The sequence below is a fragment of the Homo sapiens genome, chromosome 1, assembly GCF_000001405.40.
Source record: "Homo sapiens chromosome 1, GRCh38.p14 Primary Assembly".
NCBI classification, from domain to species: Eukaryota; Metazoa; Chordata; class Mammalia; order Primates; family Hominidae; genus Homo; species Homo sapiens.
The window spans coordinates 149,428,705-149,456,609 of record NC_000001.11 but is presented as its reverse complement, the minus strand read 5'-3'; the positions used below and the strand labels follow the sequence as shown (position 1 = coordinate 149,456,609).

General features: G+C 38.9%; 1 protein-coding gene across 2 annotated transcripts in view; it reads right to left on the bottom strand.

The window, feature by feature from the left end:
* NOTCH2NLC (notch 2 N-terminal like C) overlaps positions 1-27,905 on the bottom strand; it is an 81,213-nt gene that overhangs the window by 15,224 nt on the left and 38,084 nt on the right. The window contains exons 2-3 of one of the 2 annotated variants that reach the window (NM_001364012.2): positions 25,595-25,676; positions 1,033-1,292 (exon numbers count right to left, since the gene is read on the bottom strand). In NM_001364012.2, the coding sequence (NP_001350941.1) occupies positions 1,033-1,292; positions 25,595-25,632 (298 nt within the window). In that variant the 5' untranslated portion in view covers positions 25,633-25,676. The remainder of the gene's footprint in view (positions 1-1,032; positions 1,293-25,594; positions 25,677-27,905) is intronic. The other variant, NM_001364013.2, reaches the window with a different exon arrangement.

The following is a 27,905-nucleotide window of genomic DNA, read 5'->3' as shown; positions in this document are numbered from 1 at the left end:
TTTCTAGCGTGGGTATTTGGGATGTACATGGTTGCTACGTATTTCTGTCAACAAGGTGAGCTGAAAGTACCTGTAGAATATCTCCAAGGAGAACATACAAAGGATAGCTAGAAACATGAGCCTGAATGTCAGGGTTGGGTGGAGCTAAGGGAATGATGGTGAGATTCATCAGCAAGCTAATGAAGACAGTGGCAGTGGAGGCGAATACAGACAGTGAAATTCCCTAGGGAGAGCTGTGATGTGGCTCAAAAGAGGGCGAAAAACAGTGCTCCAGGGAGCACAAACATTTAATGGATAAGAACAAGGTAATGAAGAAGCAAAAGGAACAGGGTTCAGAAAACCAGAAAAGCCAGTGCCCTGAATGTCTAGGGAGGGAGATTTCTAAAAGCAAATAGTCAATAACATCAGCAACTTTTCCTCTGGTGACAGTGTACTTATTTCTTTTAGTGAAGTAAACTCTGATTCCCCATCCTGGTGTACATATTTTTTTTTTTGAGACAGGGTCTCACTCTGTCACCCAGGCTAGAGTGCAGTGGTGCGATCATAGCTCACTGCAGCCTCAAACTCCTGGGCTCAAGCAATTCTTCCACTTCAGCCTCCCAAGTAGTTAGGACTACAGGTGCACACCACCACACATGACTAATTTTGTTTTATTTTTATTCTTGTTTTTTTGTAGAGATGGGGTCTTGCTATGTTTCCCAGGCTGGTCTCAAACCTCTAGCCTCAAGTGATCCTCCTGCCTTGGCCTGCCAAAATGCTGGGATTGCAAGCGTACGCCACCGCACCTGGCCCTGACATATATACTTTAAGCAGTCAAAGTATTTGGTCCTTTTTCTTTCTCTTTCTCTGCCCCCTGAAACTCTTAAAAGGAAGTTAGGGATAGTTGTCTGGAACATCCCAGTTCCTTATCATAATGTTAAATGTGCACCAGAGCTGGGGGACATTTAAGAGCCAGATACCATGATCTAAAAGATGCTAAATAAAGGTATCTGCTGAAGGTAGGAAAGCACTGGCTTTGGTCTCATTAGTTACCTGTAAACCCGACTTGACAGGTGCACTCATAGGTATCCCGGCTGAGCATATGGCATGTGCCGCCATTCAGGCAAGGTCGAGACACAAAGCATGGATGAGATGTCGAGTACTGGCAGTCCTCTCCTGTAAACCCTGAGGCACATCGGCACGTGGCTTTCCCCAGCATGGCCTGGGCCACACAAGTCCCACCATTCTGGCAGCGGTTCTTCTCACAGGGGTCTCGATGTTGACAATATTCCCCCAAGAAGCCTTCTGGACATCTGTATGGAAAAGAGAAGAGTCCATGAAAACACCTGACTTCTTGTAAGTCCAAAAAATTACAGTAAAACAATACAGTCCAATCAAGAAAGCACGAGATTGTGAATCAACAGACCTACAAGGACCACCTATAAAACTGCTTCCCTTTAGAAGAAAGAGTCCTTAGAGAACTTAACCACATACTCCCATGTCCTTTTGAGTCCTGGCAGGTGACAGAGTATCAGCTGTATGGTCTAGCAGGGTCTGCCATGGCCAGTCAACATGACCCTTATTCAAACGCAAAATGCACCCCAGCTTTTTTTCATGTGTGTACAGGTTGGGATGGTGTAACAGCACCTTTTTTAGAGCACTGTTCGTACTTGTCTGCTTAAATTCATTAACTTTCTCATTTTGACTAAGCCATTTGATAGGATTAAGATGTCCACAATATAATGCATGAACTTGACCCTATTATCCCCTCCAATTTAAAATATGTAAGGTATCATGTGCTTTTCCTCAATTAAGCATTGAGAAATAGTAAGTGCTTCTTTCTCTTATTTCCACTGAAACATCAATTGGCTGATACCTAGTTTTCTGGGTTATGTTCAGGTGGCTGACATTACAACAGAAAAAGGGAAAGGAGGTACAGGAATGGGGAAGAGTTCAAAGGGATATTTAAAAATCTGTTAATATTTAAGTAGGCATTTTTAACCAAATAAAAAGGCACAAAATATAATTAAATAACATAAAATATCTAAGATACCATATAAACACCAAAGTGAAGGAAGGAATCAATTGAAGAATAACATTCTATGATATTTTCCACATTGAGGCACTGAGGAACCTTTTTACATGCCACCCCTTGATTCATAAGATGTACAACCATTTCAAACTGTGTGTATTATTTATGACAATTTTCTCTGAACAATATCAAAAAGGCATGGTAAGTCTCCATTTTCATAATGAAGTTGTTTAAATGGAATCTCTGAGAAGCATTTAAATTAAGAAACACAAACACTTTGATTCTAACTATAAATGCTGCTATATATTTGGCTGGTGCCCCAAATATGTGATTCAACTTATTCCTCGTTTTAGTTTTCAGGGACTAGAAAACTGAATCTAGTAGGCTGTTCCACCATTACCTCAAAGATTACACATTTAAACCAAACTCTAAATCCCCCTCTCAAAAACCAGCTTTTCTGTGCCCAAGCCTTGTTGTCCTGATTTTCCTAATCATTGTGACCTGAAACATTGGGGTCATGAGTGCTTTTGTCTTTGACAGTCATATCCAAGACCTTTCATTAACCATTGGTTGGCAAGGCTAGCTAGCAGGGGTCACAGTTACTGAGAAAAGAAGGAAGGCCAGATACTAGGGAACTAAGACAGAAAATGCCCAGAAGAATTGTGTAGTAGCTAAAATGGCTAAAGGAGAAAACAGGGTGGTGAATAGCTATAGTGGTAGTGAGGTAACTGGCCACAGCCTCTTCACCCCTCCCAGAGCTGCATAAGATAAGCATGGCAGAGCAAGGAGCGGCTAAGGCTCTGGGCATCTTCATGAGTAGGTGTAGCTACAGACCAACAGGCAGTGAAGAAAGTTCATAGCACTGAAACCAAAGATGGCATGCAGGTGACTGTGAGGAGTCTGTATCAAGAAGGTCAGAAGGTCTGGTTTGGAGTTCTGGTGCTGTGACCTTGGACAAGTTACTTATCTTCACTGACTATCCATTTTCTCACATTGTAAATAGTTAATAAGGTCACCTACATCATGAGATTATTCTAAGAACTGAACAAAATCAAGTATGTAAAAAACCTTATAAATGTTAAAAAGTTTTGCAAGTGGGCTGGGCACAGTGGCTCACACCTGTAATTCCAGCACTTTGGGAGGCTGAGGTGTGAGGACCATCTGAGGTCAGGAGTTTGAGAATAGCCCGGCCAACATGGTGAAACCCTGGCTCTACTAAAAATACAAAAATTAGCCAGGGTGGTGGTGCACGCTTGTAATCCCAGCTACTCGGGAGGCTGAGGCATGAGAATTGCTTGAACCCGGGAGGCGGAGGTTGCAGTGAGCCGACGAGATTGTGCCACTACACTCCAGCCTGGGCAACAGAGTGAGATTCCATCTCAAAAAAAAAAGTTTTGCCAAGTGAAAACATCTTTTCTCTCTTCTTTGTGCTTATTGAGGAAAATACAATGCCCCATCCAAATCACAGCTTGATTTGAGAATAGTTTCTTGTGTTGGTTTTTTGAAGTGGAGGAGCAAAAAGTGCCAATGTAGCATAGCTAAAATTAACTCTGAGATATATTATTAAAAGCATTTGCAGCTTATTCAAGAAATGTGTTATGAATGTTAAAAACTGCAACACAATTCTCACTCACAGTGCAGCCCTCTGGGCATTATTAGATGACTCTTCATTCTCCCATATGGGAATTATGCACCTTCTAAATAATGGCAAATTTTTAAACGTGGGTGGGCTTTGCTCAGCTTTGCTCCTGAACTATTACACCACCCTAACACTATCATGTGGCATATGCTAAGAGAATGCAAAGTCATTTAAATGGTAGCATCATAAACATATAATGGAAATATAAGGTTCCCAGGAAAACAAAAATGAAGCAAAATGGAAGTTTCTAAAGCTAAACAGATGTATTTCTGAATTATTTGTTTCTACAGTTTAATTCACATTGTTGCTCCCTATCAAGTATGGAAAAATAAGTTTTAACCTAAGATATATTTAAGAAATCAGTAAAACCAGAGATTGACAAAGTACAGTTTGCAAGTCTAATTTGGACCACTGCCTGTTTTTGTTTGGCCTGTGAATAGTTTTTTACATTTTTAAATGATTAGAAAAAAAGAACAAAAGAAGGATATTTTCTGACATTTCAAAATTATATACAATTCAAATTTCAGTGTCCATAAATAGTCTTACCGGAACACAGCCATGCTCATTCATTTATAGATTGTCTATGGCTGATTTTCCACTACAACAACAGAGTCAAGTAGCTGTAATGAGACCACAAAGCCTGCAAAAATAATTACTCTCTGGCACTTTACAGAAAAAGTTTGCCAACTTCTGAGTAGAGAACATATGAAGGCTAATTCTATAAATACCATCCAATATGCTTATTAATAATGATCGGTTTCTGATAGGAAATCAACCTTATTAGTTTCCACAAAGAATATTAAACTTATAATCGTTCATTCACACAACAATTAGTAAATGCCTATTATGTGCCAGGCATTTTTCCAGTGCTAGAAAAATTCTTACACTCTTGGAGTTTACATTCTAATAGCGGAAGACGAAAACAAAATTACTAAGTAAAAGATGCACAATAGATGGAGTTAAGTGCTGTGAAAAAAAATTAAACAGGAAGGAATGGAGCTGGGGATGAGGGTGTGGGGTGAGCAAAGAGAAGTATCTCAGTTTAGAATAGGAAAATCAGAGAAGACCTTCACTGACAATACTTGAGTTGAGACCTAAATAAGGTGAGAGTAATCATGCAGGTATCTTAGGAAAACACATTCATGAGAAAGGGAACAGCAAATGCAAAGGCCATAACACAGAGAGCAGCCCTAGCGTGTTTGAGAAACAGCAAGAATATCTGGAGCAGCAGAAAATAGATGAGAGCTGTAACTGGGATGTGGATCAATTGGGGCCTTTAAGCCACTGTAAAGAAAGACTTAGGGTTTTCCTCTAAATGGGATAATACTTACATATGAGGTACAACAGACTTACTCTCCTAAAGCCCGTGTACAGAACCACATATTTGCTTTACGTGAAACTAGACCTACTGTATTAATAAAGTTTGATTTCTATTTAAAATGTTTTAGAGGGCTGGACATCAGCTTAGTTCTTTACTTTTACCTTAGAAGATATACAAGTCTCTTTTAACCCACACTTTCATGAGGTCCCATTTCCCTTTCCAAATTATTGTTTCACAGCTAACCTTCTATGACTGTAGCCTAATTTCAGATATTTCTCTTTCTTTTCCATCTACTTCTTACTTATCCCTCTGCAACAAAACTTTAATTCTAATTATTGCTTAGAAACTGTTTTCTAAAAACAATGACTTTCCTCTAGTCAAGTTCAGTGGTCTCATCTGAAACTTCATAAGGAAATTCTCTCTCCTATAGGGAGAATTGCTAACCACTCCATGTACCGTTTTAATCATTTTACCTTGGCTTCTATGACTCCCTCTGTCTAACTCAAAACCCAGTGAAGTCTTAGTCTGGATTGCTGATTTCTCCTTCTTCCCCATCTATTATGGCCACCCTAATGTTTAAGTCTGGACTGCACTGCTCTTTCTCTCAAATGCATTTGTTACTGTTGTTGTTCACTTGGTTTTAAACAACTTCCTTCCTGTAACTGACTCCAAAATACACTGTTCCAGTCCCATATGTTCAGTTTTCTAGAAGTCATCTCTCTATCCTAATATGTGCTGCCACTATTTGAAACTAAACATTTGTAAAAGGAGATCATCTTCCCAAGAAACTTTAATTATTCAATTTTTCTAAGGCTTCCACACACAATTTAAAGTAACTTCATCTCTTTAAGTTGTATATAATTTATTACCACATTCTGACAAGACTTGTTAACTGAATTCCTATAATACTTATCATTCGTGTTCACAGTTTCCTTTTTGATACAAATTCTGATCATCTTAAAAGCCTCAGGCCAGACATCATCTTGTTGCTGGCTTTTCCCCCATTTCCAGCCATCCTTGGAAAAACAGAACCTTCAGATTCAAGAAATTTAATTTCTATCCAATTAAGTAATCATTTCTAAAATATTTCTAAAAGATGATCACCAGCCTCTGCTTGAATACAAGCATGTAGCATGGTGCCGGATAAATCTTGAGAATTTAATAAATGCTTGGAGTTATTATTGTTCTGCTCTTAAGAGTACAGACTCTGGAACCAGACCACCTGGATTTCAATCCCAACTCCACCATTTACTCAATGTGTAATCTTGGGCAAGGTACTAAACTTCCCTGTTGTAAAAGAGATGTAATAACAGTGCCTACTTCATAGGATTTTTAAATAAGGGTAAAGCACTTAGAACACTATCCAGCACATAGTAAACACTATGCATTTGTTAAGTGAAATTACTGGCTGACTACTTCAACAAAAGAACAGTCTTCAATGTGGTGGATTCCACTGTGAGAAAGCTCTTTCTTAATTCTTCAAATTCTGCCTCCCTTCCTAGGTATATACCCGAGATAACTGAAAACATATGCCCACATAATAAAAATGTTCATAGCAGCATTATTCATAATAGCTAAAAAGTAGAAACAACCCAAATGCCTATAAGCTGATGAACAGATAAATAAAATGTGGTATATCCATAAATGAAATATGTGGCCATGAAAAGGAATGACATTCTGATACATGCTACAACATGGATGAACCTTGAAAACATGCTAAGTGAAAGAAGCCACACACAAAAGGCCACATATTATATAATTCCATTTATATGAAATGTCCAGAATATGCAAATCCGTAGAGATAAAAAGTAGATTAGTGTTGCTAGGAGCTGTAAAGAAAGGGAAATAGACAGTGACTACTAAGCAGTAGAGAATTTCTTTCAGGGTGATAAAAATGTTTTGAAATTAGATAATGGTGGTGGTCTCATAACTCTGGAAATACTAAAGTCTACTAAATTAAACACTTTAAAAGGGTAAATTTTATGATACATAAATTATGTCTTAATTTTGAAAAGAACAAACTTTGTCTCTCTACAATTTCCAGGTTATCTCTACCCTCTAGAACAAAAAAGAACAAGCCTTCTGCTTCTCTTACACGTAGCCCTTCAAGAATCTGAAGATAGTTATGTGGGCCTTTTGTTTTCTTTTTTCCAGGATTCAATGGTTTGGCGTATTCCTCAGTATAGGGTTATTTCCAGGCTTCTTCACCTTTTTAGTGGTGCTTCTATGCTTAATAGTAGTAATAATAATCAGAATGACCAAAATTTTCTGCCTCCCTTCCCAGGTATATACCCGAAGTAACTGAAAACATATTTTCTAAGTACTTAACTATGTATTGTATATTTGCTAAGCATTTGATAGCTATTGTCTCTTGTATTACTCGCTCCAGTGCCGTATTATAATCTCCATTTTATATATGAGGAACTCGAAGCTTAGAAAGATTAAGATTTTACAGCTAGGCCAGGTGCGGTGGCTCACACCAGTAATCTCAGCACTTTGGGAGGCCGAGGCAGGCAGATCACCAGGTCAGGAGATCGAGACCATCCTGGCTAACACAGTGAAACCCTGTCTCTACTAAAAATATAAAAAATTAGCCAGGCGTGGTGGCGGGCGCCTGTAGTCCCAGCTACTCGGGAGGCTGAGGCAGGAGAATGGCATGAACCCAGAAGTTGGAGGTTGCAGTGAGCCAAGATCGCGCCACTGCACTCCAGCCTGGGCGACAGAGCGAGACTCCCTCTCAAAAAAAAAAAAAAAAATTCACAGCTAGTAGATGGAAGAGGCAGGATTCAAACCCAAGTAGACTCTAGAGTGCGTGTGCTTCAACACTAGGCTATCCTGCCTCCCCATCACTGGATGACTCCAGTTCATCAAAAACCTCTTTAAAAAGTGAGGCTCAAAATGGAAAAAGGCTTAACACATGTTCTTACCAGTGCAGCACAGAGCTGAACCATGACCTTCTGATCTGGACACTATGCTTTTACTATTTCAGAGTAAGTTCTTAAACTGAGAAGGCATCGTGAGAGCGCAGTTCAAGAAAGAATAATGCTCCGACTCATACCCAATGGATATGTGTACTTTTTTAGAAGCCACAAAATACTACTATGTGCTATGGAATACACACTCAGCTAAAATATTCAGAGCCTTATTTCACATGAACTACTAGTGTACCCTATTTTTCTCATCTTATACTTGTAGCACATGTTTTTTGAACCCAATAATTGGAACTATCATTCATTCCTTTTAAATCCATCATATTGAGTCTTTACTCCAAGTTTCCTTGATTGAGACAACTTTTACATTATACTCATACAATCACAGAATTTCAGCAGTGATCTCAGAAACCAAATGGTCTGAACCCCTATAGCACTGAAAAGGACACCAAAGCTAACTGATCTACCCAAAGTTGGTTATCTGTGAATCTAGCAATTTCCCCAGTTTTACAAATATATCCCTATCTTCACCTAGACCTTGCAATGAAACAGTACTTAACTGAAAGTGTATGACTAAGTCTTGCCCCAAGACTAGCACCTATTCAATCAGCTCTAACATCCTAAATGGACCAGCATCCTATCCATACCTCTCCTCTCCCTAAGGACAGTCTGGAAATTCCTTGCTGAACCTAAGCATATGACTAAAAGAATAATCTTTCCTAAGCATAATTTTCATGTCATTCTTCTGCTCAGAAACTAGCAACAGTATTAATACCAAGCCTTTCAAATCCAAGTTCTTTACAATCTCTGATCTGCTTGTCTGTCCCATTCCAATCATCTAACCATCTTACTCTTTAGTAATCCATAACTCGAACACTCCATATTATTTCCACAATCTTGTTTACTGTCCCCCATATTAAAATCTTTTTAATTTCCAGTGAGAAACATCATGCTTCCCTTCTGGTATATCTCCAACTTAGGTTCCTTTCTTCCACCCTTTTTTCAAAAATCTGCTGTAAACCTGTCCTATAGTAAGCCTTCTACAAATCATCCCACCTGTCTCTGATCCTTCCAACAGCAGATGTAGTGCCATGTCATGCACTACATTGTCTCCACTGGTATGGTTCTTCTTTATTTAAGCCACTGTTATGTCTTTGCTGTACCTTTCTCAAACTCCCATCTAGATAGTTTTTGTGGGGAAGAGCCTGTCTTGAACCCTTGGTGTAGGTTCCCTGAATACCTGAGTACCTAAACCCCACTAAGCAGCTGGTTCCAAAGCAGGCTAAATTTCATGTGATGGATAAAGTCAGTCTCTCAATCCAAATGTTCCACAAAATCCATCTCTACTCTGTGATCTGTCTGGTAGAATAACAGGCCAAATCAACCTAATAGTCATCCTGAGGTATAGAATTATCCTTCACACCCCAGGAAGCTAAGCAGCATTATGGACATGGGAAGAAAGGGGAGTAATAGGTAAGACAGTCAGAAATAACAGACCCTTGTTTCCTAAGGCAGGAGATCTTTCAACTTGCAAATCCCTGTTCAACTGTGGTATAAGGAGAACATATACTCTGTTAGTCTTGGTGGAAAGTAAGGTTCTCTGCTTGAAAACAAGGGCTTAAATAGCTGTCTTCTTGAGATGGCTAAAGTTGAATTTGGTTAGAGAGTGAAAACATGGCTAAACACCCAACATCCCTTACGTATCTATAATTCCATTAAGCTACCCAGCACACATTTTGGAAAATAGTCTACCACTTGAACTAAAGGTGTATATTCTAAAAAATAACCACAAAAATCTAACAGATGCCTTTCATCCGCAAAACTATATGAATGTTTCCCTCCTGTAGGGAGTTTATTAATTATTTTCATAACTGTCTCTTCAATGTCTCTCAGTGACTTCTACTTACTCTCTCTTCTCTAGCATTGGAACTCTGAAAGAACATACTTCGCAGATGAGGTTGTGAATACAGAGAAAGGTTTGGGGAGAATTTTTCCATTTTAAACTCTATAAACTAATCTGAATACTTACCAGGTCCATAAAGATATATTTATGACTTTTTCTTTAAAAGTCTCAGCTGGGCACAGTGGCTCACACCTGTAATCCCAGCACTGTGGGAGGCCAAGGTGAGCAGATTGCTAGAGCGGAAGTTCGAGACCTGCCTAGGCAACACGGGCAACATGGTGAGAACCCCATCTCAAAAAAAAAAAAAGTGTCATTTCTGACATTGAGAGGTCCACATTTCCATTGTTACTGTTCAAACATACGCATGGGGTTGGATGTAGAAAAGCAAAGGAAGGAAGAAAACAGAGAAAAACAAGGGATTCCTCCTAATGGAACTAGAAAACATTCCATTTGAAGGATACCCCTACAGTTTCCTCTCACTTAAGCAGATGAAAACCAGACCCCAACCCTCACATCTCACTAGCAGCCTGGATTAGTTTACATGTAGCCACTTTACAGATTTCAACGAAGCTGGGATCTGAATAGCAATTCCAATCTATCTGGCAATGGCTGCAGTTCAGGATCAGTCTCCCTAGTAATACAGGACAGAAAAATTTGTTCTTTCACGTTTCCTAAGTGAATAGCCACTCGTCTACAGAAAAGCTTAAAACAGTGTAGCAGCTTGTGTCAGCTCCAAGATGACTGAAGTCTGAGCAGGAAATAAGCCCCTTTTCCAAATAAAAGCCAGTGTTCTCTCCCCTTGTTTTCTCCACCGAATGTTCTGTATCAGCAGGGTGAGGCCAAATTGCATCCAGGGCTTTGCTGCAGCTCTGTCTTTAGCTTTTTTTTTTTTTTTTTTTTTTTTAAAACGAGGATTTGGCCATTCAAAAAAAAACAACAACAACAAAGCAAAACCCCACCACATACAAGAAGAAAAAGAGAGGCATGCTTTACAAAACAGCTATTTCAAAGTCATGATTTTTAAAAAAACTATACAGAATGTGGAACGAAGGGGAAAAAAAAGTCTCATGTGGGTTGCGTCGGCACTGCAGCTGCTCCTCATTAAAGTTCCTCTTTACTCCCTCTGGGCTAGTTTCCAGCAGAAAATTCTTTAAACAGAACTCTGCTTTCAACCCACTTTCTTCTTGCCCTGGGCCTCTTGGCCCCCCAATCCGCAGTGGCAGCCTGCCCTAGCTGAGCTCTAGAGGGGGGAGCTGTCGTTAAGGTAAATGAGGTAAGGGCAGGGGAAAAAACTAACAAAACCCAGAAACCAAATTAAGCATCGGTCAGTAACAAAGGTCTGCAGTTTGAAAGGCTCCAAATCAGTCTGTTCTTTCCTGTGACCATAATGCCAGCTTAGTTTCCTGCCCCCCTACTCTGTCCCCCCTGTTAAAGTAGATAAAAATAATTGCTAACAGCCAAGGCTAGCTGGAACCAGTGAAAGTTCCTATGTAACATTCAATTCCCAAGGCTCCGACTACAAACTTGTAGGTACCCCAGAGCCTATAGAATCAAGTCTAAACTTCTAGGCTGGCATTCAGGAGGCCTAACCCACCTATTGGTCTAGACTCACTGGTCTCCCTCCTTTCAGTACCTCCTGGCTGAGGTCTGATGGGCTTGTCAACTTTTTAATTCTGTCACTCTGTGTAAAGGTAACTAACTAGGTTATGCTAATTACCAACTTTGTTTTAAAAACATGCATGAGGACTTCTAGTTAACTTCCTGGTAAAGAGGGGAAAAAAAGAGAAGAAGCTCTGTCATACTACTTCTTGCCATTCCCACTCTACTCTCAACCCCCCCTTTTCTCAAATAAAAAGAAAAAAAAAGGAAATACTATAGCTTACTCAGCAAGAAGGAAAAACAAAAAGAACTTTAAAAAAAAGTATTTGTGTATAGATTGGTGTCCAGAACTGGGACGCTTGTGGTAAAACACACTTTCTAGTGTAGTTTTTCTAGGGCCTTACTAGTTGTATGTGAAGGAAACAAAGACAAGTATACAATCTCTCACTCTCACACACGTACACACACACATACACACTTTTATCACAACTAATACACAAAGACTACCAAATACTGCAGGGCAGCTCATTTTTCTACTATGTAAATTCAGCTTCCTGGACAGAGCATTTCTGCTTTTCTTGTAGAAGTATTTCAGAAAATGTTAATCTTGGTTCCCACATTAGGTTGCATGCTTCCAAATTAAAAGTTTCCCACAGGAAAAGAACTTCATGAGGAATTGTGAGGCTGGGAATTATCTCTGAAACCCCACCTCACTTAGTTTACATGTGTTAGGTTTTTCACCCCCTCATCTGAATAAAGCATTAAATACACACTGATTTTAAGAAACCTAAACCAAAAAGAAGCTGAAGTGGTACGGACTTTAAAGCTGTTGATTCACAGCATCATTCATCTTCACTCAGACTATGAAATCAGTAACCACTGCAATGAGAAACCATGCTTTATTTATACAAGAACTTTACAAACATCCTTATCTTCCAGTTTACAGTCTGGGCTCATTTATCAGAACTCAAAGGCTGAGCTGAGCACCTAGTCTCTTCAATCATCACTTGAAAGATTGGGAAGGGGCACACAGTGTTAAAAGACTTGTGTTGTTGCTATAACAGAAGGTGGTCTTTCCTCTGTGTTCCAGAACACAATCAGGATCTTACCATACTTCACTGCACTGGACCCTGAGAAAATATCTACTTGTGATTAAAACATGGCAAACACATTCTAGACATATGAGTTTACAAAAAACACCCTTCGATGTAATGGACAAAACTGAATGAGTTAGCTCAGTTGTTCCCAAGGTATGGGCTGTGGAGTTATTGCAAGGGATTGCAATCCTTATAAATCACTTTCTAAACTACTAAACAGTATCTTGTCCATATTTAAATATATGTATATGCTTTTATGACTAGTAAAACATAAAGATATATTAAATGATTCTTGAATTCTTAGATTTTGACAGTATACATTGTATTCAAACAACACACTGAGAAATTGTTTCATCTCAAGCTCTCTCCTTTATGCACTATACTCTTGCTAAACGCCTTTCAGCTCCTAGAAAATGCTATAGTACACTACTTCTCACTTCCAGACCTCTGTACACGCTGTTCAGTCAGCCCAAAATGCTTTTCCCCACCTTCTCATGGCTAAGCCCTAAAATTTCATTAAGTCTCAACTTAAATGTTATTTCCTGTGAAAAACAGCCTTGACACCCCCTCTGTTCTTATAACCCTGAGCCTGTGTTACTCATTAGCCCTTATTATGATTATCTGTCAACAGACTAAAATTATTAATTCTCATACTCCCAGTGCCTAACACAATGACTGGCATATAGAAGGCATTCAACTATTCAGTGCAGAAGCAAAAGGTCAAAATGAAGGGCTCTGTGGAATCTTTACCCCTTAAAAAGACCCTATAAATACACTTGAAGTTTGGGAACAACTGGGTTGAGCTATTTACCTAAAGGATTTTCAAAACTAATTAAGATTCCTGATATATAGACTACTTCTTAACCCCCACTCACCCCTATATCAGTCAAATTGGGCCAACTCCATGCAAAGTAGATTATTTTTTAATCACCTTCCCTCCCACCTACCAAATATGAAGTTAACCAACACACACAGAGAGGCATGTGTGCATGTGCAGACATACACACACACAGTCCTCATTCCCTCTTGCACTTTTATTGGTCTTTCATCGGTTGTTGATAAGACTGACTACATAAACCACCAGGGACCTGGAGCCCTGACTAAAAAAAAAAAAAAATCCTACAAAGTGGCCTCAATAGCATGAACTGCTAGATTCTGTAGTGACTGCCATTGAAAATTAAAGAAGATCTCTAGAAAGAAAAGTGTTGGAGCCTTCTTTCCATTCCCCAATGTTGGTGGATGACCACCTTCAAAGTTCTGAAGTCCAAAAAATATCTAAAAGCAGAGTAATTTAAAAAGCTTACTGTTTAGTCTAAAAGGATTTTCCTAGATCAAAAACAACTGTACCTATTTGGATACCAAAAATGAAAAAGAAATAGTGCAGAATCTTTAGATTGCCTAATGGGATCTGGAGAAACAGCTCTTAGTCCCAGTCTACATCCTAATGAGTTATGTAATAAAGGCTAATTCGCTTAGCTGTATTACACCTCAGCCTCCTCACTTATAAAACAAAATGAGTGACAAAGGTGCTTTCCAAAGTCCCTTTGACCTCCTAAGTGTGATGACTCTATAATCTTGGCCTTTGAAGTCCCTTGGCAATACCACCCAAGGATGTAATGATGCTTGCTGATGTTAATGTTTGGGTGTTTGTGGTTGTATATGTCTTGACCACTGTCCCACTCCAAGCAGGGGATCCTAGGGTAAGAACTGTACTGTGTCTCTTTTTTAATATCCCTCACAGTGCCCATCACCCTCTAGGTGCACAGATAATTCAATATACACTTATGTAAAAGAATTGTTCCACAACTCACACTTTCAGCTAGCCCCTCACAGATGCATAAGAAAGCAAAGAACAACCAAAGAGAAGGAACAATATATTTAAACAAGATAAGGGGAATGAAAAAGAATCTTGTGTTTAAAAGGGATAGAAAGGTCTAACCATCTTCTATCCCAAACAACTGGCCAACATGAGAGCCTGTTTTCTTGAGCACAGAATGGAGGTAGGTATTTCAGCCTCGATGGAATCTGACCTGCTGATTAGTTATACAAGGCTAAAACTGACTGAAGTGTGTATGTAAGACAACGGTCTGGGAAGAGAAGCACTAAATTTAAGCTCACAGGGAATCAACCACTTAAAAAGGTAAATTCAGATAGAACTTTATCCAGATTTCATTTTTATGCATCCTCTCTACAAGCATAAACGCTTATCTTACTCACTTCCCATCTCATGATGCTATCATCAATTCTTATAAAATTTAGAAAAGAATAGGTGATGTCTCCTAATTAGAGAGTCTGCTTCTGTCACAAACTGTGACAGTCAGTGTCAGCCTTTGCCTGGAAGAAAATGAGTCACTTTTTCATTAGTAATCAAGTTATGTCTATTTTTTAAGAGTGACCCAGAAATTCAAGGCCATGAGTTTCAGCAATACGAGACAGAGAATCAGACACCACAAACATTGTATACAAATAGAATTAAGACAGAAAAATTAAAGTCAAGGAGGTACAGAGTTACTTTTCAGGATGACTGAGGTTTCAGAAAGGGCAAGTTGCCCCGTAAAATATTCTCAAGATGTGTCTGGCTTACACAACGAGAACCAGTATTTCAAAATCTTAAAGTGACAGGCAGTTAAACGACTAAGGCACTACCATCGTCTAGGCAAGAGAATCTTAACCACCATCAAATGTTTTCCACACAGAATAGGCAGACCTAGTTTATTCTGGAAAATTGAGGGTTTGGATATGTACTATATAATCAGAGGAAACAAGCAGTAAAGGACCTGAGCTAATTTGGGGTAACCAAAGACTTGGCTAACAGATGCTTCCTTACTCTGGATCCCTCATATGAATCAGATCTGGCCAGTGATATGCTGGACAGAAGATATCTGAGGTTGAGATACCTGATTTCTCAACTAAGGGAATGAACTATGCAGTACATGAAAACCAACCCTCTTCTTAGTGCCTCTGTTTTCCTATCACTTCCCCTATCCCAATCCATTCTTGCTCTTGCCTTAGAGATTCTTAGATTCTGATTTTCCTCGCAAAACATGGCCACAAGCCTACCGCCTCTCTGTCTGGTAGAAGTATAAGAATCAAGAGTCAAGGCCAAAAAGGTCTGAGGGAAGGAGCACAATTGCTCCCAGCTGCCCTCTCTTCCTGTCCCCAGGTCCTCTCCTTCACCCTCACTCTAGGCATTCTACCTCCAAACGTTCAAGTTAACATGTGCTAAAGGAATGATTTTCTAAATCACTTACCTGTCACTGTGAAACTAGATTAATCCACATACTGGTTTAGTAAAACCTCACACAAACCAGCATATACACAGAAGACAGCAATCAAGATGAAGAAAACGTTTGAAACTGTGTCATTAAGAAAACGTGATGAAGAAATTGGTAATGATTATTCCAGGAAATAACAGTCCCTTCTAGTCTCCTCAGCTCCCTTCCTCTCACCCTTCTCCTACCTATCCATCTTCTAAGGCACCACTAATATTCAAAGATTTAGGATCTAAGCAGTGCACCAAAAGTCCTCTGATTTTACTCTTTTGTCCCACAGTACTTGTTCCTTTGTCTGAGTGTCCATAGTTATTATCTGTGCCCCTACACTGGGATATTACAAACTGTTTTATTTTACACATCTCTGTATGCTTCATCTCCCCAGCAAGACTTCAGAAGACTGCCACCATGTCTTATGCAGGAGAAACTGCATTCACTGTCAGACAGTCTCTGGGTACGTATACTTGTGAATAAAGAAGTCAGGTAACACAGGCCTCTTGGGCTTTTCTGTCTATTCACAATACCCAGTACAGTGATCAGTTATAGTAGCCTGCTCAATAAATACTAGTGTGATAAAAATTAAACTTTTGTTTGAAAAGTGAGGATTCTATAGTGCTTCAGAGTCCATCTAACTTTCAGTGTTCAGCACACAGGATTATAGACAGTGACTGCAGGAAAATGACCTGAATCTATACAGATTTAATACGCTAAATGCTACCATTCTACATAAATCCTAATCAGATTATTTTCTTATTAACACCTACCTTTCTCCTCATATTTACGTGAAGGCAAAAAAACTGGATAGAATGCTCTAGTTGAATGTGTTTGCTGAATAATATCACCCATCACTTAAATAATGCCTTTCTTAGTCTTTATTTTCACTTTTCTTTCATAAAACTCTTTTCATAAAGATCAAGTAGAAGACTGTTTAGGAGAAGAGCATTTCGAGCAGAAATTAACTGCATTACTTTTTCATAGGAGAAGGCTGATGGAGTCTAAGAATTGGCAATACATTTTTGGACACAGAGGACTAAGTGCTAGTGAAGGTCACTGACAGTGAATAAATAGGATCTAGAAAATGTGTGGAAATCCAATAGAAATTTTAATTTACCTTACGTTGGGTTGTAAGGTAAAACTCAACTAAAAGAAATATGAAAACAAAATGCATAACACAGTCGCATGTGCACACATGTGTGCATACACACATATGACAGGAGGACGGAGAGACACTAAACTTCATTCCTAACTACTGTATGTTGAGAGGAGGCCTAATGAAAACCTCTATCACACCCACATATTTATGCTAGCTTAATAAATTTTAAAGTGCTTGGAAATTTTTAGATGATTACTTTTTCTCATATTCTGATATCCCCCATTCCTTTGCTATCATTCATAAGGGCAGATGTAGACAAAATTAAAGAATTTAATTAAGCCTCTCCATATCCTGAAAGAGAAATATTTCTCATTTTGCTTAGTCACAAAAAAAGGGAGAAAAAAAGAATTCCTGTGTGAAATTAATGGTGCTAACGAGACATGCCTGAATAAGAAACTTCACATAAGATTACGATTGACCTGGAGACTGTGTTGAAAGAAACCTAGCTAAATTCACATCTATTAATGCCAGACTGCAGGCCAAAATTTGTTGATTTAATTTCTTGGCAGTTACCCAAGACAGGTAAAAGGATATAGGCAGAGCCTAAGAACCAGATTCTCCTACTTCTTCACTGAACACTGAAATATATAAAGGTCCCAACTGAAAGAATAAAAATTAGTTGAAAATAGTATGGAAATTATGTTGCTATGTGTTAAGAAGCTACTAACTGGCCAGGCACAGTGGTTCAGGCCTGTAATTCCAGCCCTTTGGGAGGCAGAAGTGGGAGGATCACTTGAGCCCAGGAATTTGAGACCAGCCTGAGCAACATGTGAGACCGTATCTCTATAAAAAGTTTTAAAAATGGGAGACTGAGGCAGGAGGATGGATGGCTTGAGCCTAGGAGGTGGAGGCTGCAGTGATCCATGATTGCTCTACTGCACTCAAGCCTGGGCCACAGATGGAGATGCTAGTAACCAAGACTTCCTTTACAAAAGACCCCTTAGGGAAACATCATATTTGATAAAGGATTTTAATAGGACATAAGTATTAATAAGAATCACTTAGGAATGGTACTGTTAAAGGGTCCAGATCTCAAGTCCTAATACAAGGAAAAGCCTCACAGGACATACTCATATGCATCTGTAACTCACTATGCAAATGTAAGGTGCCATATTCAACAACTTGTGACTTTTGTGCTGGCAACAACATTTATCAAAAATCACTGAATTTAACCTGTCTCAATTTCACAACTGCATAAATCTGTCTGGACTTGCTCCTGTTCCATTAGTAAAAAGAAAGGAGAAGTTTCAAATTAGTTCTCTCTACTGAAGCACACTTTAATAGACAATATCCTCTATCCCCACCTTCACTGCCCTCTTCTTCTATTTCATCCACAGTTATTACATTGAGCTTTCATGTTAAAGGCCATTTCTCAGAAATGCAGTATTCACCAAACCTGGCCCATGTACACTCATGTAACTATATGCAGATTTAGTGTTCTAGAATGATATGAGGTACTCAGGCCTACCTAATGCTACTGTCTTTAAATTTAGAAATTACATAAAGCAGTGTTTTAATCATATTCCTGATCTGAAAAGTCCCCTTTTTGTATACTTTCAAATGTTCCACACTTCCATTTCAGAAGGTTCCATTTGAACTACCAACTTAAAACAGGTAATTCTGTCCCATTTTATTGACAGGCAAACTGAGACTCAACGTGACAGTACATTTTCCACGAGTATATCTCAGGTTAGCTACAGAGTGATGGGATCTTGAGTGAATTATTTAACTTCTCTTAGCTTCCATATAGTCTCTCTCTCACATGAGGACTAAAGTAAATACATGTAAACTACTTGAGAACAGACCCTAATATGCAATAATGTTAGCTAGCATTATAGACTTTAACTTGCCAAAGATCCAATTGTTAATAGGAATCAGGACTCAAACTTAAGTCTATCTGGCATAAAAAAACCTATGTCCTCAGCTGGGCGTGGTGGCTCACGCCTGTAATCCCAGCACTTTGGGAGGCCGAGGCGGGCAGATCATGAGGTCAGGAGATAGAGACCATCCTGGCTAACACAGTGAAACCCCGTCTCTACTAAAAATACAAAAAATTAGCCGGGCGTGGTGGCGGGCGCTTGTAGTCCCGGCTACTTGAGAGGCTGAGGCAGGAGAATGGCATGAACCCGGGAGGCGGAGCTTGCAGTGAGCCAAGAAAGCGCCACTGCACTCCAGCCTGGGCCACAGAGCGAGACTCTGTCTCAAAAAAAAACAACAACAAAAAACTATGTCCTCTTCATGTCACCAGTCAAGGATCTTCCAGGACCCTTACTCCACTCACCAGTGCAGGCTGAACCATACTAGGTCATAAGGCAAAAGAAAAAATCAGTACTACTGATCTCCTTATTTAAAATTTTGATAATTTTCAACTTATTTTGCATTAATTTTGATTTTTTGAACAACTACATACAAACATTATTTTGATTAGTGAGTTTTTTGGCACTCTCTTAAATTTCACAAGAGAGGCCTGTGCCTTACTTGCCTCACCATGGTCCCAGCCCTGCCATTCACTGGCAGCCCCTGTACAGAAGGCCACATTATAGTCAGTTTTTTTCATACTTGGCTTTACTCTGAACCTCTCTAAGAAGCCCAAGTTAATGAACTGGTAATTATTTTATGACTTCCCAAAGAAGTGTGAAATAATATGATAACAATATTGATTAACTGCAACTACTACCACAGACTTGAGTTATCTGTTATATGTGGTACGCATAAATAGCATGCAATAAATAACTCTTGAATTAATAAAACCTGAACATATTACATTTTAAGAAAAGATTACTCTATGAGAGGTATTTAATGAGCCAAAAAAACAGCATTCTTTGTTTTATGTTAAAAAGATAAATGAACTATGGAAAACTGGCCAAGCTTCTGCTATCATTTTCCAGAAAAACTATATACACAATGTTCAGCTAAATAGGCACCGTACTTGAAGGAACTAGGCTGGCAGAACCAGTTTCAGCTGAGAAGAAAGAGAAAGCAATTTAACAGTTGATATTTTTCCCTGTCTATTTCTTTGATCTGACAATGCCCCTGTGCCTCCCTGAATGCACTCACAAGAAGGTGAAGGAAAGGGGGAAATGCTGAGTCAGCCATGACTTCTGAAAACGCCTTTTTGGGGGAGAAGCACCACAACAGAAACATTGCGAATGCATCCTCCATAAAAAGCTAAGTTCTAAGGGATTATGAGTGTCTCTACTCTCTACTTACTATACAGACATTTACCAAGAAGACAAAGAAGGCAATGGCTCTAGTTTTTCTTGGATGGATTCAGGAAATCTGGACCACCAACATGACTGCCTAATCCTGGCAAGGAGAATTGTTAGCTGTTAATGTTTAATGTTTATTACAGCTAGCAGACAAGTTTTAGACAAAATGTGACACAAAGTTATATTTTATAACACTTTATATTTATAATAATTTACCTTAAAGTGTAGTTTTTAGATCAGCACTTTAGCAAAAAGTGGACATTCTCAAATGCAAGCACCCATCTACAGGAACGTATACAACTCACGGTGACTTTCTGCTGTTTTACAAACACTATGTTAGATATTTACCAAGTGGTATGTATGAAATTCTGAAAGGCCCCTTTATATTTCCAATTTTCATCATTAAAAATAATTGCAGAGTAACTTATATCAGACTAGCCCTCTTGCTCTGGACAAAATATCAAAGGCACTGGAGAATCACTGAAAGCAGGCATAAACTAGAAGGGATATAAGCCTCAGAAAAAGCAAAGCAAACTATATGAAACCCACATTTACAGTTTTGTTTTTGTTTTTTTTTATCGTGAAGGTACACCCCAGTTCATGCAGCAGAAGAGGAAGAGTGTGCAAGCAGAAAACGGAAGTCCTGCGATACTGAGGAGTCAGAGGTATCTGGAGCTGTCACAGCAGCTAGAATATGAGGAGAAAAATTCCTGGAAAAGACAGAACCACAGAGTGGGTAGCTTCAAAGTATGCATACAACTCTGCTCAAATCCTTAAATAATTCCTGACTATGCATGAGCAAGATAAGATTCAGAAACCCAAGAGAAAGTAAGAGCTGGACGGCTGAAAAGACTGAGCAGAAGGCTCCTGGGGCTGGGAGGACAAGTTCTGCCTTAGAGGGGCTTAATGAACACCTCAGGGCTTGGTAGGCCCCTCACACTTTCCACTGAACCCCTAGAAGGGTCACATCTTGGGAATAAGAGCCCTATCTCATGACTAAGATTTGTGTCATCGGACTAAGGGCAGAACAGAAGTAGGCCCACCCTAACGTGTCCTAAAACCTAGCATCCATAAGATCAAGATGATCTGCCAATCTTGACAAAATTCAACATTCTTTAGTGGGAGATAAACTTTAAAATCTATCACCCACAATGTCCAGTAAGTAATGTAAAACTACCATACATGTGTAAAGTAAAGGGAAGTCATACCCATGGTCCAAAGAAGGAGCAGTTGATAGAAACAGAAACACATCCATAGACAACCCAGATGTTAAGAACCAGCAGACAAAGATTTTAAATAACTACAATAAATGTCCTTAAAATACATATTTTGTCAATTATACAAATCATAACCTAACCTACCCCCAGAATCCTAGTGAACTTGAGTTGTCCATGATCTTTAATCAAATTGGGATTTAGAATGGTTTATATTTGAAAGTCTGAAGCAAACAACTTGAAAGTGATTAATGACATCAAATTTAATTACATATTTACACCTCCCAGTAGGACAAGGGAAAGAATAAAATATCTTATCTCCCTGTAGTGAGAGGGCTTTATTAAGATTTGACAGTAGTTATTTAACAGCAATAATTGAGTTTTATGCAAGATTATACACGTTCTCCTAATCTGGCATCAAAATCTAATCACAGACTGATAGGGTACTTAGGCTCCTAACAGTGAGAAAAAACAGTGGAGCTGAGTACAAAACTAATCTTCAAAAGTAGTTATCTTCATCTGTCAATGTGATCTTATCAAGGATTTTTATAATTTCTATAAACAATCATTATATTTTAGCTGAATCAGTAGCATTATGCTGTCTAAACAGATAGTCAGATTCCTTCTATTTTAAAACACTTTCTACCAGTTCCCATCCCACCACTCACCACTCACCCCCACGCTGGCCCTGTAAAAGGAATTTGGCTTCAACTTTCTTTTCTTAATCCACTAAGCAATCGCATGAATAAAAAGATAATCACATGCCCTGCATGCCTGATAGAATTTTTATAAATCTTCTAAGTGTTTTAATATTTATTTTCTATTTTGTGAAAATAATATTTACTGAACAAGCTAGATCATTTTCTTTCTCCACAGAAAAAAAGGTAAGGTTGGTGAAAATACACTGAAAGCTCTGCTAGGTACACATTATTTTTGCATAAAATTTTGCTTAAAATTCTGTGGAGGCTGGCAAAGCACTGTAGAATGATTGACATGGCTGCCTTGATATTGTTCTTGCTTTTTCTTTGTCCACTTATGTTGACCCTGCCACTCCTAAATATGCTAATATTACTTTTGCTGAGGTAGGGAATCACTCTCTTTATACAAGTTTTGTTGTTCATCTTGGTCTCCCAAAAGGATGGCCTCACCAAATTTTTTCTTACTCTCTCTCAAGGAGTTTGTTTCCCTCAAAACAGGAAAGACATCTGAGGGACATACCCAGAACTGTATCCATAAGCATTCCATCCTATCAACAATTAACAAGTAGCCAGGGACAGAATTTAGGCAGCTCCATTTTCTTTTTTTTTTTTTTTGGAGACACAGTCTCACTCTGTCGCTCAGGCTGGAGTGCAGTGGTGCAATCTTGGCTCACTGCAAGCTCCGCCTCCTGGGTTCAGGCCATTCTCCTGCCTCAGCCTCCCGAGTAACTGGGATTACAGGTGCGTGCCACCACGCCCAGCTAATCTTTTGCATTTTTAGTAGAGATGGGATTTCACCGTGTTAGCCAGGATGGTCTCCAACCTTGGTTGGAGAGTATGAGACTAGCAGCCCAACAGTCCAACAAAGAACTATTGGACTTCTTCCCAACAGTGACCCTTAGGTGTCCTCTCCTGGTAAGTGCTCAGAGATTAGTCTCCCCTAGAAACCTTCTCTCCCCATGTCAGACCAAAAATATATAGGCGAACACTTAGAACATATTTGAAATTCTCCATATATAAGTCACCAAGTTGAATGATCTTCAAATAGAACCAATTTGCCTCTCTGTATGGTATTACCACCCTGAATGCTATGTGAAGTAAATAAACTTTTTTTAAATTTTGCTTTTAAGTTTTGGGATACATGTGCAGAATGTGCAGGTTTGTTTCATAGGTATACATGTGCCATGGTGGTTTGCTGCACCTATCAACCCGTCATCCAGGTTTTAAGCCCCACGTGCATTAGGTATTCATCCTAATGCTCTCCCTCCCCTTTCCCCCCACCCCCTGACAGGCCCCAGTGTGTGATGTTCCCCTCCCTGTGTCCATGTGTTCTCATTGTTCAACTCCCACTTATGAGTGAGAACATGCCGTGTTTGGTTTTCTGTTCCTGTGTTAGTTTGCTGAGAATGATGGCTTCCAGCTTCATCCATGTCCCTGCAAAGGACATTAACTCATTCTTTTTTATGGCTGCATACTATTCCATCGTGTATACATGCCACATTTTCTTTATCCAGTCTATCACCGTTGGGCATTTGGGTTGGTTCCAAGTCTTTCCTACTGTAAATAGTGCTGAAGTAAACACACATGTGCATGTGTCCTTATAGTAGAATGATTTATAATCCTTTGGGTATATACTCAGTAATGGGATTGCTGGGCCAAATGGTATTTCTGGTTCTAGATCCTTGAGGAATCGCCACACTGAAATTTTTAAAGGAGAGAACCAGTGTCTTCTTATTTAACATAAATAGATAAGAAACATGTGCATGATGGTATCTACTTAGCACCTTTTAGTTTAAGAAACACATTGCTGAACAATAACTACACCAGGCACTGTACTAGGCATTAACTATGCAAAAAATGCATAAGACTAAGACCTCACATTCTAGCAAAAGAAACACATCAACAAATGACCATAATGCAATGGGGTTAACTACCACAAGAGTAGTTAACAGAATAAAGCAAGCAACTAAGGCACCAAATGCCACAAAAAGACTAAACAAGATTTCAGTGGCCTACTCTAAGGTATTAAGTTCCCTCCCTTATTATCTCCAGTTGTATCTCCATTCTTAGAGGAGAATGCACCACATGTTTTTTTTTCCTCCAGCTAGAAAAACTAAATGAGCAGCCCATAATAAGCTACATAAAACCTTTATTTCCAATGTTATCTTTATTCCAATCCAAACAACCTATTGTTAAGCTTTACTGTCATCACAGCTTAAAATATTTTCACTTTAGTGAAGAAAATTATTTCTGACTTGAAAAAAAAATCTTGTTTATAACATTAAAAAACTAAATCCTGGTGTCAGAACAGATCTCACTGGAAAAAAGTTGTAATTACATTCCTGGTAAGAAATAAAAATGTGTTGGATAAACTCACTTAAAATGCTTACTAAGCAAGTACCTCCACCAAAGCAAAGAAGAACTACTCCTCACAAAAATGAAGGAAAAGAAGAGAAATTTCATATTACCAAATTTTATTTCTCCAGCATCTTCCCTGAAATAAACAGAATGGATACATATTCCTCTTAAAAATTTTCAATTGAGGCAGAAGAAAAAAAATTATTTGCAGGAAACCTAGAAAAGCTATTATGAAATTATCTCACAGCCTTCCTCAAACAAACAAAACGTCTTGGCTAGAGTAGATGGTTGGAGAAAAAGGAAAAAAAAATGCTCTTAAGCCAAGAACTAGCCTACATTTTCCTTCATCCTTACTCTTTTATCCCCATATAATAATACACACCCAAAGCCCCTGCTCCCCCTCAATCTACACATATGCACACATCTTCCTCTCTCACTGTCTCACTTTCAGAATTAGATTTTTTACACTAGAAAAAAATATGAATATAATATTCACATATACTGGGCCGAATATTAAAGTTGATATCTATTTGGTTTTACTTAAAAACAAGATAATAGGTAACATGTTAAGGGGAGACTCTAAGAGTATTCCTTAATCTGAAAAACACAAGGGAATCTAATATACATTTTTTTATTTTTTTTTATTTCTTTTTGAGACGGAGTCTTGCTCTGTCACCCAGGCTAGAGTGCAATGATGTGGTCTCAGCTCACTGCAACCTCCGCCTCCTGGGTTCAAGTCATTCTCCTGCCTCAGCCTCCCGAGTAGCTGGGACTCCAGGCATGCGCCACCACACCCGGCTAATTTTTGTATTTTTAGTAGAGATAGGGTTTCACTATGTTGGCCAGGCTGGTCTTGAACTCCTGACCTCGTGATTCGCCCAACTCAGCCTCCTGAAGTGCTGGGATTACCAGCATGAGCCACCATGCCTGGTCTACCCCATATACATTAACTAGCCACTCACTGAAAAGTCTTTTTCATAGTGAGAAAGATAACAGTAAGATAGTAAGAAGTTCTTATTAGCCAATTATCTGGCATCCACATCCTTCCATCCTCACCCCCAACCAAAATCTGTACCAGGAAAGCTCAAGAACCAGTAACATTCCACAGAAGCATTAAAAATAGAGGAGTAGAATCAAATCTTGTCCAGTGTTCTATCGCAAAAAGAAAATATATGAAGAGAAAAACTTACTTGCAGTATCCTGTGCCATTGTGGTAGGTAACACACATTCCTTCATTTACACAGGGTTCATAGCCATCTCGACACTGCAATGCTAAAAATAAAAACAAATGCACATTAGAAGTAAGTCACTAATCATAACCCTCAGACACCAAAGAAGTGTAATCCAATCCAGATCAGCATTCATTCCCACCTAATCTGGGTTTCTTTTTAGAGTTTTAATCAGTTTTTTATGTTTTGGCTTCTAGCACAGAAGCCCATCCCAAAACTATCTTCCAACAATAACCACGTTTGTGGTCTTCAATGATGCTCTTATTTCTCTGTGTTTCAGTATCTCCAGCTGTTACATCTCCATCTCCCAATTAAAAATTAAAGCCATACCATCTATGACATGACACATCATCTTGGGATTTAGATACTTCAGATGAGTATTATAAGGATTCATCAATGAGTGTTTAGGAAAATGCTAGATAAATAATAGATCACCATTATACTGATGAATTACTTAGCCTTCAGGTGAAGTTTTAAAACGGACTGCTTCAAGAAGTAATCAGAAACAGCAATAACAGTAATTCGACAAACTAAAATTGAGAGCCTAGTATGCACCAGGCACAAAATTAGGATCCAGAAAAAAGGAGAAATGGAATACATAAATAAACGAATAAACATAATCTCTAGCTTTAAGGGGCCCATAAAAAGATGGGGAGTAGATCATGAATAGAGACTGCAGAGAGAGTATCAAAAGAAATAAAAGGAGAAGGCAATTTTATACATACAGATAAAACAAAAATTCTCAAACTGTTGATTCCCCCATTCCCTTTAAGAGACAATAAAAAGGCACTTTACCATCTCAGGCCCTCCCAAAAACAGACTTTTCAGAGAAAAGAACAAAAACAACAGCAATAGTAGACATTTTCATTGATTTCAGCCAAGAATGGAAGAAGTCTACTCGAAATCTGCCAATCACTTGCTGGATAATTACAATATCTTGATTGTTTAGCTTTTAGAGTTGAAATTTTCATCACCAAAATACATATCAAGAATCCTAACAACTGGAAAGGTAAGACAGAAAGAAACCTAGTCAAACAATAAATATCAAATTGAAGCTCATGAACTCTTTCTTGGAAGTTATTAAGATGTCCATCTCTTATGATAGTTAATGTATAAATACCTGAAAGCAAAACTGAGAAGTTCCCCCCTCCAAGTTTCCTCTACCCACACCACTCTATGCATAAATTGTGCAAGATCAGAGACGCTAGGCCTGGCCATCCCTGGCCACGAAACCAGTAGCCCAGGTGCAAGCTGGATGTCAGAACAACTCCTCCACCAACAATTACTGCATAAAAGCCTAGTATTGTATCCAGTAGTAGAATCATTTGAGAACATGTTTACAGAAAATGCATCCCATCCTTGAAATAATATTTTTAAATGGTAATAGTAATAATAATAGGCTAACACATAGAACTTACTAAATACCAGGCACTATCCTAAGTACTTTACATAAATTAGCTAACTAATTCAATCTTCACAACAACCCTTAGAAGTAAATTTCATTATACCCATTCTCAGGTGAGAAAACAGGGAGGATAAGTGGCCTGCCTACTGCCATGCCACTGAGTTAGAAAGCTAGAATTTGAATCCAGAGACTCTGCCCTTAACCACCAAGATACACTGCTTCCCACTACCTGAAATTTCTCAGGATTGGCAGGGTGGATATTATTATACCCATTTACCAATAGTAGAGGCCAGAGAGAATAAGTGGCCTCTTTATGGGGCATCGCACCACTAGCTGGTGGCAGTGCTGGGCCTAGGACCCAGGTCTCAGTAAAAGTCCAACCCATCTCTATGACAGCTGTTGGGATCACACAAAGAGTCACCAGGCTGCAGGCCCAAACAGGCAAATTCAGGAAGAGGGTCATCTTGTTGTCCATATCCCACTTCCCTGTAAGGCTCAAATGCTCCCTCTTCCCACACTGATAAGCCCAATGCAACAACTATAATTAAAACAGTTAATGTCAGGTTATTTCCTCCATACCAAAGTTCTCAAACTGATTTTTTCATTCTCTTTAGACACTTTTATTAGTTTCAGTGAGAACTTCCGGGGTTTTTTCTATTTACTTTTTTTCTTTAAATAAAATAATAAATAAATAAAACCGTCACAGTAGGAAAGGAATGCCCTGTAGGCACAGAAAAAGCTGTAGCTCTGTCCCCCTGCAGGAATCCTGGTGCAGTGGAGGGACTCAGGAGACCTGAAATCCTGTCTGTACCCCTAACTGCAAGCAAAGCACAACTTCATGGGGGCTCAATTTCCCTACCTGTACCA